Below are 13,247 nucleotides of genomic sequence, written 5' to 3'. Positions count from 1 at the left end.
ATCCTAGGTGATTCTGCCCAAAATCTAACTTCAGATTGAGACACATCTGTCCTGGCTTCGAGGACATCCACACCAAGGCTGGGGTCCCTGCCCTGAGCCCTGAACCCTGAGCTGTATCCCAGCCCTCCCCCACCATAGCTCAGCACCTGAGGGAGTGACAGCTGGAGTGGCCAGGATGCATTGAGACAAATGGGCCTGTGATTAGCTGGCCATCAATACCCCTTAAAGGCCCATTCTCTCCAAACCTGGCAGGTCCCTCTCAATTCTACCCCCAGCCCCACCCCGCCCTCCTGAGCCAGGCAGAGGTCCAGTCCCAGCAACTCTAGACTCCTCTTCCCCTCCCTCACTCTCTGCCCTGGCCATATCCACCAGATGGATTATGTCTTATTTCTCTTGGATTTGGCTGCAGGAACCAAACAGCATTTAAGGCCATTGATTGTTCAAAAGGCCAAGTGTATAATGTACCAGAAAATTAGTTTGAAGTGCCCAGCAGGGGAACAGCTCAGCTCTGTCCTCAGATTTACTCTGCTCTGGTGGGCTGGGATGGGGATGGGGTGGAAGTCAGTATGCCCTACAGCCTCTTCAGGGGTTTCTGGGAGGCCATCCTCTCCTCGTGGCTGAGCTGGGGCCTCCTTGCCAGCCAGTTTACACAGGTGAGCTCTATTACAGCAATACCCCGCCTTCATCTCAGCTGCCACCCACATGGCCCCTTCCCACCTTCCCTCCTCTCTCTCTCTCTCATCACACACACACACACACACACACAGAGAGAGAGAGAGAGTACACCCACAGTACACACATAGTGTTAGAACAACGTGCCCACAGAGATGCACGTACGTGAGACAGCCCCATACTCGCCGACACTCCACCTCTGTGTGAATGAGACTCTGAGAACCTAGAAAAGTGCTTTCCTTTTGCCTGAAGAATTCAGTGCCAAGAAGGGTGCTGACACAAAAGAGGTGATCACTGATGTTTGCTGAATCAGTCAAATGGCTTCTTGGCTGAATGGACGCAGAACCATGGACAGCTCCCACCCACTCCTCACCTCTCCCCTCCCCTCCCTCCCAGATGAGTTAGCTCCAGCTCACAGCCAGCTGGAGTCACTAATACGTTGGTATCATCATACATAGTGGCATTCATTTTGAACACCTGGTATGCACCAGTCACGAGCCAAGCTTTTTGTATGAATCATCTCACTTGGTCTTCACAACCTCTGAAGATAGGTATCGTTATCCCACTCTACAGATGACAAAACTGAAGCTCACAGGGATGGTCACTGCCCAAGTTCCCATTGAGTTTGCCTGAAATAACAGAGACAAGGGCACCTAATTCCAGGGGTCCCTGTTAAGTTGTCCATGCTTAATATAACCGTAACTTCACCAGATGGGTTTCCCCTGAAAGCAGAGGAGGAGAGACCAACACCTCTCAGTCCATAGCAGCAATTCCTCAACATCGGTCCATCACACACTTCCTGTTCCCACTGCATTCAGCCCCAGTGAAGATTCCTGAGGCCTGAAAATCAAGGTCAAACATGGCTAAAGTCAGAGAGCTCAAAGGGGACACTTGAGCATCTCAAAAAAGTGTGTCCAAGTGAAGTCATGCCAAAAAGCAATAGGTTGTTACACAGACTCACCAAGTTTAAAGAAAGAGGAGCAAGGACCCAGAAGCCAGAAGCAATTGTCCAGCCCTCTTCCTCTTCCCTCTCTGGGACTAATGAAAATATTGAAGAAGGTAAAAGACTCAGTTCATTGGAAGAGAAAATTAACAGTGACCACGAGGCCGGGCGTGGTGAGGCCAGGTGTGGTGGCTCACACCTGTAATCCCAGCACTTTGGGAGGCCAAGGCGTGTGGATCACCTGAGGTCGGGAGTTTGAGATCAGCCTGACCAACATGGAGAAACCCCATCTCTACTAAAAATACAAAATTAGCCAGGCATGGTGGTGCATGCCTGTAATCCCAGCTACTCGGGAGGCTGAGACAGGAGAATTGCTTGAACCCGGGAGGCGGAGGTTACAGTAAGCTGAGATCATGCCATTGCACTCCAGCCTGGGCAATAAGAGTGAAACTCCATCTCCAAAAAAAAAAGTGACCATGATGGCTGAAGAGCTCAGGGAATGCGGACATAGGGAGTGGTTTTATAAAAGGCTGAGCCACACTCTTGTGATGGACAGAAGAGAGAGCATCTCCATTTAGCGTTGTTGGCAGGAAAATGGTGATCAATGACCTTTGATGCTCCAGCTGACCCAGGGTCAGGGAGCCAACATCTCTCCCACACCCAAAACAGTGGTGAAAGCATGAGGGGAGAATATGGGTCATTTGGTTTCAAGTATCAGTGCCCACATTTACCCCACTCCATACCCATCAAATGGTCAGTCAAGCTTTATTTCATATGGCAAGATTCTGAAACACTTGAGATCTCTTTCTTACAACACAGAAGCTAGGACCTGTTTGCAATAAGTATCTACACAGAGATGTTTTAAAAGGTTTTTGGCCCAAAGCAAAGTCCCGTGTTTTGGTCACTTACCTATTCTCCAGACTTCAATCCAAATGCCTTTGGGGGTGTTTCCAAAGATACAGTTTACCCTCAAAGAATAAACATTTGCCAATATTCAAGACCACATGCCACAGACTTCCAAAGGGGAGTTCCCAAAGTGATTTGACAGCGCGATGTGACTGGAATGGGTATCAAGCTTTCCAAGTGAATTACACGGATGGGAACAATGCCTCTTGGATGTAAAAGTTCTAACACGTGAGCAAAACCCTTAGTCTAACTTTTTATTATCACATCAGCAGCTCGCCATTAGCAGTGCATCTCAGAGTCCTTTCTGATGTTTACTAGTCATTATCTGAAGGAGAGAGAAGACAAGGACGGTGTGGGGAGGTGGGCAGGCATTCTACTTGGAGTCAGGAGATCTGGGTTTGACTCTGCGTTTACTTTTTACTACCTGTGTGATTAAGGGCCTAAACTCCTTTAAAATTGTCTGTTTTTTTCATTTATAACATGTTAGCAACCAAAATCTCACTTGTTGGAAATATGATTCTGGCTAAATGCGATGGAAAACCTGACCCCGTGCTTGCCACATCATATGAATTCAATACATGTTAGTTGATTGCTTGGGGAGAAGGGGTCGGGCAGCCACAGGTCCTGGATAAAGGCTTGGCCATTGTCAAAGGCCTTGCCTTGAAAGCAAGGGTGAAGTCGGTTTCTTCTCTAAAAAGGGTACAAATACAGGGGGCCGTGAACCTAAAAGACAAACTTACCCTAGGGAAGTACATTGTCTAGGGTGGTGTCTTACCACAGGGATACAGGAAGGAGGCAGGGCTTCATCACTTACAAAGATTGACTGAGGATCTGAATTCAGTAGGAGGAAGAAAGCAAAGTGCTCTTAGAAAGAAAGATATTCTTCAGTGTCAGAGTGAAGGATCCACATGGGGTGACGCTGCAGCACAACAGGGCTGTTCCACAAGGGGAAGAACTTCCACCCAGGGTCCACTAAGTCTTCAAACAGTCTAGTGAGAGAGGCTCTAGAAGCTGGCAGAGCTAGAAGGAAAAGCATGTGTTTGGAGACAGGGGAATGGATGAGGTAAACTCATCAGGAACTAGTCCCCCCATCTCTGAAACTCAGCAAGTCCAGATCTATCTTAAGAGCAGCTTTCCAGCATCGGGAGGAGGCTCTACGAAGCCCGGGGAAAATGCCAGTGTGGCAATTTAGTGGTGAGCAGCATTGCTAATGAGTGCCAAGAATAACAGTGGCTTCTTAATGGAGCCCTTAATGAAGACTCATTTCGGGTTTTATTAACGCAGAAAAAAAGCACACACTCTTTTTTCCCCCCAGCTCTCAGAGAGCAGGCAGAATAAAGAGAAGCTCCAAACATGGGGCTGAGCGCATATCCTGGTTCCTGATTGAGGTATCATAATAGGCTTTGAGAAGTTGGGTAGGAGGGGCGGGATCAGAGCCCTGAAATGCTCCTTTGGCCTTCAGACAATCTCTCTGGACTCAGAGATCCCACGTGGTCTTAGGGGGAGATTTCCCGCTAGGCTTAGTCCTGCAATTTGCAGGCAAGCTGCAAATAAGAATACAAAGGAGACCCATCCCCAAGGCGGTGGCAGTGATTTTAACAGACAGACACTCTCCATTAAATATTTAATTAGAATGCAATCCCACCAGAGCTCTCTCACTATGAGAGACTAAAAAAAAATGCAGGCCAGGCGCGGTGGCTCACGCCTGTAATCCCAGCACTTCGGGAGGCCGAGGTGGGCCGATCCCCTAAGGTCAGGAGTTCAAGACCAGCCTGGCCAATATGGTGAAACCGTATCTCTACTAAAAATGCAAAAATTAGCTGAGTGTGATGGCACATGCCTGTAATCCCAGCTACTCGAGAGCCTGAGGCAGGAGAATCACTTGAATCTGGGAGACAGAGGTTGCAGTGAGCCGAGATCGCACCACTGCACTCCAGCCTGGGTGACAGAGTGAGACTCCACCTCAAGAAAATAATAATAAAAAAATTAAAAAATTAACAAATAAATTAAAAATGCAGCTCTCTATGCTGAGAACTAGGCTTGTTCACCCCTACCCCATGTTGCTCACCTGTTACCAAGTATATAGTTCCCATTGGCTTAAAATGCAGCAAAAGGGATTCAGTTTAGACCCCCCAAAGAACCTAAAGTTCTAGTAATACAGTACTTTAGGATAGACAGGTGACCTTGAATGTCATCCAATCAAATTCCTGATTTTATGAGAAAACTGAGGCCAAGAGAAATTAGAAACTCATTCAAAAATCAAACAGCTGATTGTGGCTGAGCCGTTGTCCAGGACATCCGGGGCAGTGCTCCCCGACAAAACCACCCTTTGCCCGTTGCTGGACTCCCTCTCCCAGGGCTAAAAAGTTGGCTAATTGACCATGCTTGGGGCTGGGCTGGCAAGAGTAAGATGGCATCTGGGGATGCCTTGGGGCTAGGATCTTGCAGTATCTCTGATGCCCCAATACCAGCCCAGGATGCAGCTTAGCATTTGCTTTGCACATCCTAGATACTCAATCACTCTTTGTCGAATGAAATAGGAGATCTCCATTTGTAGGTCGTTGATCCCCTAAACTCAAATGGGAAACCTCAAAAGAGGGAAGATAATCATTCCCAAATAGCTCCACAGCCATACTGGCAAGCCCTCTGCCAATAGTTAATGCACAGTTACCAAGTTAATAAGATGAATGGCCTGGGAGCCTAGGAAGTGAGCAGTAGGAGGGGGATGGGTTTTTCCCCCCGATTAGCGTGAACCCTCCAGAATGGGGACTGTCTTTGTTTGGTGCTTGGGGAGACCCAGGACAAAGAGGAGTCAGTCCTTTCCTGGGAGGACTCAGCCTGATAGGGAGCAGCCTACCCCCCTCAACACACACAGCGCAGCTGCTGAGTGACTGCTGTGTACTCCACACCATGCTATGTACTTATTTCTCACTTAATTCTCACAATTTCATTGTAAGGTAGCCATTATTTTGCCTCTTTTAACAGAAGAGGAGAATGAGACACAAATAGAGTGAGACACAAGTGGCTTATGTCAATTGCCTAAGGTCACACAGCAAGAAGTTAGTGGAGCCAGGAGATGAAGCAGGTCTGCCTGGCCCTGCTCTACCACCAGCCACATGCAAACACCTGCAAACTGAACACCTCAGTGTCACAGGACACCAAACGTTGCGACAGCTGTTGCAGGGAGTACACTCTGGTAGGTCTCCCAGACAAGGTTCCCTGGGACTTTTGAGAAAGGCGAGAAGGAGCTCCTTAACAGGCGGCAGGCCTATCAGAGCAGAAGCTGGCATTTAGGGAGCAGCTGCATGGTATGCCACTCCATGCCATGTGGCTCACTATACAGTCTCATCCAACTCTCATGACCACCTTCTGAGGCAAGACTCAGGTTCAGAGCGGGACAGTGACTTTCCCAGAGTCACACGGCTAGTCAATGCTAGATTCGGGTCTGAATCTGTAGGAGAGGACAAGCCACTGACTTGATGGGAGGAGACAGGTGCTGGGAGAGGCTAAAAAGCAGCTCCGAGGCCACTGCTGGAGACCCCTCTTTCTTAGCATAGAGGAGCTTATTTTAGGAGCCTTGGCTCTGAAAAGGCAGGAGACGGGGCCAGGTGTGCCTTGTCCCACAGGCATTTTTCACTTCTGGATCCACCCCTCCTCCCCCAGGAGGGCCCCTGAAGTTGGCAGAGGAACACATTGATAAGATTCCATGAACATGCAAGGGGACCACGTAGCTTTTAAGCACCACCATGGCCACTTTAATCTGTTTTCCCAAAGAGGTTTATGCCCCATCTGCTCACAGGGCCCCCAGCGCGGCCCTGCTCACCAGCCCCTGCTGTCAGCATCCTCGCGAGTGACACAGCTCAGCCTGCCAGCAGCAGCAGGGGCTTTAAAGGCAGAGAGAACGGAGGGCAAGTCCTGCTTTCCCCAGCTTGGAGCCTCAGTTTCCTCATCTCTTAGGCAGAGCTAATGATGCCTGCCCTGTAGGATTGTCTTAAGCATTTAAAAGCCTGTCACCAGCCTTCCTTCCAAGCCACCCTTGGCTGTTCTCTTCTCTAAGCCAAATCACCACACGGTTCACCAGCCATTTCCCCCTCAGTCGGGGAGGAGTGGAGTCATCTGGGGCTCTGATCTGAGTCCAGAGACGAGAGAAGCTGGCAAGAACCCCATCTCTGGGAAAGGCCAAGAGGAGATCCTGGGCGAGGGTGGGGAAGGTCTGTAGTTCTCGTGTCTGGGCGACTCAAGAGTGACAGCCCAGGAGATCCTGGAGGCACAGAGACACCAGGGCCTGGAAGAGCTAGCAGGCAGTTGGCAGGAGCCAGACCCCCTCTGCATCAGCAGGACCTGGGAAGAGCCTGCAGCTGCACTGGGCCCTTGGTGGGGAAACGGAGGCATTCTGGCAATAGGAGAGCTCTCCTTCTTAAGCAGCCTAAAAGAAGCTGATAACAGAGAATCCAAATGCCCAGGCTCCACCCACGCAAGCTCTCTCTGTGCTGTTAAAGAAAATAGTGCCATGGCAAGGCTACCAAGCCCGGCAACAGCTCTGCCTCCTGCACCCTCTCCATTTCCTCCTGAAAGATAAAGCCCAGCCTCAGGCCCCTCTCCCACAGGCTCCTCTCCCCAGCCTCTCCAGTCTGCTGTGGGCATCTTGGCTCCGAGACCTCCTAGCTTCTGTACCTTGCTTGGTGATGCCCTCTACCTACCTTAGCACCTGCCCAAGGCTACCCATCCCCCAAGGGGCACCTCAAGAGCCACCTCCTCCACGAAGCCCAGATACCCCCAGGGGACAGCTCTTCTCACTCCTCTGACCTCCTATGGGTCTCTCTGTCTCTCTTGCTTCTGCTCTGAGTATGCAGCTTGTATGAAAGTCACTTTCCTCCCCCATCCCCAGGGAGCCCTGGAGGGTGGGGCTGGGGCTGGTTACCCCTGTGTCCCCAGCACTCAGCTCAGAGCCTGGCAAACAATAGGTGCCTGGGAAACACCGTCACTAACCCATCACCGAGGAAACCCTGCTCTTTCTTCCCCTTCCTCCTCCTCCCTTGGTACAGGAGGTAGAGGCTGCAAAAGTTGTAAAACTAGGAGAGATGATCCAGGATCCAGGATTAAAGTGTGAGTGATGCCCTTGGCTGGGAGGCAGGAGATCGGTCCTAGTGACTTTGCTCCTGTGAAGCGGAAGATTTGAGGCCCTTTACCCCTGGATTTTAAAGCTCTTAAAGGCACCTCACTTTCTTATCACCTCACCCCCTTCTTCCTGCCAATTATAAGGCAAACATCTGCCCCTCATGGAGCTCCCTCCTCCCAGGCCTGCCCGCCCCTGCCCACCTCCCCACGCTCCCTCTCCCACCCAGCCTTGTGCAGGGAATGTAATTAGGCCTTTCCCCAGGACGGAACCCCCTCTGCACAGTTGTGCTGCCCGTCCGACAGGGGATAATTTATGGAAATGGGTAAAGGTGTTTTAAATTATTCAATTTAAATGTAAATAGGGGAGATGGTTTCTCTGAATAAATTGTCTTATTTATGTTCCGCCCGACTCCCCTCCCAGGGAAATAGGGAGCCCTTTGGAGACCTGAAGAACATGCCCTCCTTTCTCTTTAAATAATGTGGAAGCAGTCCATGCCCCTGTGGGGCGGTGATGTGGAGGCAGATATGTTCCCGCAACTGCTTTCCTAATTGGGGGTCACAGGACATGCCACGTGCTCAGCAGAGTCTGCTCAACAGAGACCTTGGGCAGAAGGGAAGCTCTGCCTCTCTTCCCTCTGCCCAAGGTCTCTTTCCATCCAAGTCCCTAGGGTGGCTGGCAGCTGGCTTCACACCTCCCTGACCAACTCCTTCATGCTCTGCGATGCTAACTGGCTGTGGGTCACCTATTCTTGGAGCATTTCTATCCTAAACAGGGTCCTTTAGACACAGGGCTGCCTTGAAAGGAAAGCCCGTCCCTGATGCATCTCAGACTCACATGCACCCATAGGAGGGCATTTGAGAACGGGCAGGGGGCCATCCTTTATTAGCCCCTCAGCATCAGCCAGATGCCAGTCTTGCCTTGGGGTTGGGGCCATCACACACACGAGCAAGCAGTGGTCCGGGTAGCTGTCGGGGGGTACTCAGAGACAAAACACCGAATATCCAAAACTCAAAGTGGCTCCGATCTTATGGAGCTCTGGAAACCTGCAGGTAGGGCAGAATTCAGGGCTGGTGTTGTCTGGAAGCCTGGCCCTGTTTCCCTGTGACGTGTGTGTGTGTGTGTGCATGTGTGTGTGTGCATGTGTGTGTGTGTGTGTATGTACGCTATCTATGACTAGATCAGAGATGGCTGGGGCAGTTAAGGGCCTTAGACTCACCCACAACAACATTCCGAGAAAACTAGATTAGAGCAACCTTCAAAAACTCTTTCAAAAGCGTAAAGATGTCTTCCTCCATCCCACCCCCAAAAATACCTGCTTGCATCTTATTGGCCCACTCTTGACCAATCGTTGGTAAGGAGAGAGGATTACTTTAGACCAAGCAGGTGGTTCAGGAGCTGGGATAAGACCAACTCCTTCCCTGAGACACACACCCTGAGGAGGGGTGCCAGAACAACAATAGGGTCTGTCAGGAAGGAGGAAATTCAGACTGGACACTGGGCTAAACAACATCCACCGTAGTAACAGTGGAGAAAGTGTGTAGAGATTGCTGAAATCAATATATGTTTTAATCATCAGCCATGTGTGCTTCAACCTTCCCCACTTGAGCTGGGTCAATTTCTTTTCACCCAATTCCAAGAGCCAGGCCTTTGCCCATTCGTCAAAGAGTAGAGAATCAGACCAATGGCCCAGATCACAGACTGGGTGGCAAGACTGGTCCAAATTAAGCTCAAAGAGCTGTCCAGAGGCCTCAAATCTTTCCTGGGATATCTGTAAGTAAAAGGACTGCTTGTCCAAGCCCCCTGATCATCACCACCCTCTCTGCCATTTATTCATTCATTCATTCGACATGTTATTCTGACTGTCTACCTTGTTCCAGGCATAGCTGAGTGCTGGAGGGTCACTGGTGAAAAAATAGACACATTTTCTGTTCTGTGGACTTTCCATCCTTGTAATGGACTTTATCATGTTTGTAGTCATTGGCTTGGCTGCCAGCATCCTTGCTACGTTCAGGAGTTTCCAGTCTTATGAGTCACACCTTCTGAAAGCAGAAAGCAGAAACTGGGTTACCCAGCCTCCATTGCAGCTGGAGCACAGCAGATGTCTCTGACTCCACCCATTGGCTTCACTCCCCAGAGACTCCTCTCTAGAAGGGAGGAGTTTGGGGAAGGAGACCATACCCAGAACCCATCATGCTGACAAGGGTGGTAAGAATGTGTCCAGCTTTGGGGGTTAGAAACGGTAGCAAGATTAAGTTCCTGGCCTGGAAGTGCAGTCAGTGGGGAGTGACAGTGGCAGCTGAAGCTGGTGAGGCAGCAGCAGCTGTGGTTTCCCCATCCATCTAGTTCTGTATGTCGTGGGCATCGTGCCTGGAAGCGTAGTCTTAAGTCTGGTTCTCCAGCCCTCCCTAACACTATTGATTACATGAGACACCCCATATTCTTCTAATAAATTCCTTTTCTGCTTAGCTGGTCTGAATCGGCTTCTATTGCCTAAAGCTATGAACCCTAGATGTCTCATTTCTTTTGGGCTTCTATAACAAAATACCATAGACTGGGTGGCTTATAAACAACAAAAATTTATTTCTCACAGTCCTGGACGCTGGGAAGGCCAAGACTGGGGCACAGCAGATTCAGTCTCTGGTGAGAGCCCTCTTTCATGTCCACAGACAGCACCTTCTAGCTGTGTCCTCACATTTTAGCAGGGGCAGAGCTCTCTGAGGACTCTTTCAAAAGGCACTAATGCCAATCACAAGGGCTCCACCCTCATGACCTAATCACCCTTCAAATACCATCATTTCCAAATACCATCACTTTGGGGGCCAAGATTTCAACGTAAGAATCTTGAGGGGAAACATTCAGACCATAGCACTGACTGCTGCAGAAGTGTGCCCCACCCTTGATGAGAATGACTCATTCTGAAGACTCACCCTGGGTGGCCCCTTGCCTGAATTCCCTCAAGCCCAGGCATTTTGCTCATTCCTCTTCCCCCCCACCCCCACCCCTTTTGGAGATATGGGGTCTCGCTCTATCACCCAGGCTGGAGTGCCATGGTGCGATCATAGCTCACTGCAGCCTCAAACTCCTGGGCTCAAGCATTCCTACCACCTCAGCCTCCCGAGTACCTGGGGCTAGAGGCACACGACACCACATCTGGCTTTTTGTGTGTGTAGAGACAGGGTCTCACTATGTTGCCCAGGCTGGTCTTGAACTCGAGCAATCCTCCATCATTAGCCTCTGAAAATGCCAGAATTACAGGCATGAGCCATCATGCCCAGCCTCATGCCTCGATCATGGCAGTGTGAACAGAGGCATAAACCTCTGTGTGAGTCTCCACCATCCCTCCACACTCCACACACACACACACACACACACACACACACACACACACACCTCTGAGCTCTCTGAGACCTGGGACCATGTCTCTTTCATTGGTAAATCCTCAAGTCTCCCCCTCCCCCTCCCCCTCCCTCTCCTTCTCCCTCTACCCACGGTCTCCCTCTCATGCGGAGCCGAAGCTGGACTGTACTGCTGCCATCTCGGCTCACTGCAACCTCCCTGCCTGATTCTCCTGCCTCAGTCTGCCGAATGCCTGCGATTGCAGGCACGCGCCGCCACGCCTGACTGGTTTGGGTGGAGACGGGGTTTTGCTGTGTTGGCCGGGCCGGTCTCCAGCCCCTAACCGCGAGTGATCCGCCAACCTCGGCCTCCCGAGGTGCCGGGATTGCAGACGGAGTCTGGTTCACTCAGTGCTCAATGGTGCCCAGGCTGGAGTGCAGTGGCGTGATCTCGGCTCACTACAACCTACACCTCCCAGCCGCCTGCCTTGGCCTCCCAAAGTGCCGAGATTGCAGCCTCTGCCTGGCCACCACCCCGTCTGGGAAGTGAGGAGTGTCTCTGCCTGGCCGCCCATCGTCTGGGATGTGAGGAGCCCCTCTGCCTGGCTGCCCAGTCTGGAAAGTGAGGAGCGTCTCCGCCCGGCCGCCATCCCATCTAGGAAGTGAGGAGCGCCTCTTCCCAGCCGCCATCACATCTAGGAAGTGAGGAGCGTCTCTGCCCGGCCGCCCATCGTCTGAGATGTGGGGAGCGCCTCTGCCCCACCGCCCCATCTGGGATGTGAGGAGCGCCTCTGCCCGGCCGAGACCCCGTCTGGGAGGTGAGGAGCGTCTCTGCCCGGCCGCCCCGTCTGAGAAGTGAGGAGCCCCTCCGCCCGGCAGCTGCCCCGTCTGAGAGGTGAGGAGCCTCTCCGCCCGGCAGCCACCCCATCTGGGAAGTGAGGAGCGTCTCTGCCCGGCAGCCACCCCGTCCGGGAGGGAGGTGGGGTGGGGTCAGCCCCCCGCCCGGCCAGCCGCCCCGTCCGGGAGGTGAGGGGCGCCTCTGCCCGGCCGCCCCTACTGGGAAGTGAGGAGCCCCTCAGCCCGGCCAGCCACCCCATCCGGGAGGGAGATGGGGGGTCAGCCCCCCCACCCGGCCAGCCGCCCCGTCCGGGAGGTAGGGGGATCAGCCCCCCGCCTGGCCAGCCGCCCCGTCCGGGAGGGAGGTGGGGGGGTCAGCCCTCCGCCCGGCCAGCCGCCCCGTCGGGGAGGTGAGGGGCGCCTCTGCCCGGCCGCCCCTACTGGGAAGTGAGGAGCCCCTCTGCCCGGCCAGCCGCCCCGTCCGGGAGGGAGGTGGGGGGGTCAGCCCCCCGCCCGGCCAGCCGCCCTGTCCGGGAGGGAGGTGGGGGGGGTCAGCCCCCCTGTCCGGGCAGCCGCCCCGTGCCGGGAGGTGAGGGGCGCCTCTGCCCGTCCGCCCCTACTGGGAAGTGAGGAGCCCCTCTGCCCGGCCACCACCCCGTCTGGGAGGTGTACCCAACAGCTCATTGAGAACGGGCCAGGATGACAATGGCGGCTTTGTGGAATAGAAAGGCGGGAAAGGTGGGGAAAAGATTGAGAAATCGGATGGTTGCCGTGTCTGTGTGGAAAGAAGTAGACATGGGAGACTTTTCATTTTGTTCTGCACTAAGAAAAATTCCTCTGCCTTGGGATCCTGTTGATCTGTGACCTTACCCCCAACCCTGTGCTCTCTGAAACATGTGCTGTGTCCACTCAGGGTTAAATGGATTAAGGGCGGTGCAAGATGTGCTTTGTTAAACAAATGCTTGAAGGCAGCATGCTCGTTAAGAGTCATCACCAATCCCTAATCTCAAGTAATCAGGGACACAAACACTGCGGAAGGCCGCAGGGTCCTCTGCCTAGGAAAACCAGAGACCTTTGTTCACTTGTTTATCTGCTGACCTTCCCTCCACTATTGTCCCATGACCCTGCCAAATACCCCTCTGTGAGAAACACCCAAGAATTATCAATAAAAAAATAAATTAAAAAAAATAAAAAATAAAAAATAAAATAAATAAATAAATAAATAAATAAATAAATAAAAGCCAGAATGACTGGATTTAGAGAGCTTCTGGATAGCTGAACACATGCAAGTTCCTGGAGGGCAGCTCGCCCAGGGAGGGCATGGGAGTTCTGTGCCCCTTCCCCCATACCTCACCCTGAGCATCTCTTCATCTGTATCCTTTGTAATAAAATAAATCGGTAAACATGAAAAAAAAAAAAAAAAAAAAATCCTCAG

The 13,247-nt window shown here is 52.0% G+C and overlaps 2 annotated features.

Annotated features, from left to right (window-relative positions):
* Positions 8,631 to 8,820: a silencer, noted in NCBI's record as "fragment chr11:119381879-119382068 (GRCh37/hg19 assembly coordinates)". NCBI's record gives its function as "represses an EF-1alpha promoter that drives an FKBP-Casp9 reporter gene in an ReSE screen in K562 erythroleukemia cells {active_cell/tissue: K562}" and the evidence as "EXISTENCE:reporter gene assay evidence [ECO:0000049][PMID:32094911]".
* Positions 9,484 to 9,573: a silencer, noted in NCBI's record as "silent region_3981". NCBI's record gives its function as "represses an Ori minimal core promoter by ATAC-STARR-seq in GM12878 lymphoblastoid cells {active_cell/tissue: GM12878}" and the evidence as "EXISTENCE:reporter gene assay evidence [ECO:0000049][PMID:35858748]".

Source organism: Homo sapiens, chromosome 11, assembly GCF_000001405.40.
Source record: "Homo sapiens chromosome 11, GRCh38.p14 Primary Assembly".
Taxonomy (NCBI): Eukaryota; Metazoa; Chordata; class Mammalia; order Primates; family Hominidae; genus Homo; species Homo sapiens.
This window is presented reverse-complemented; position numbering and strand designations above follow the sequence as displayed.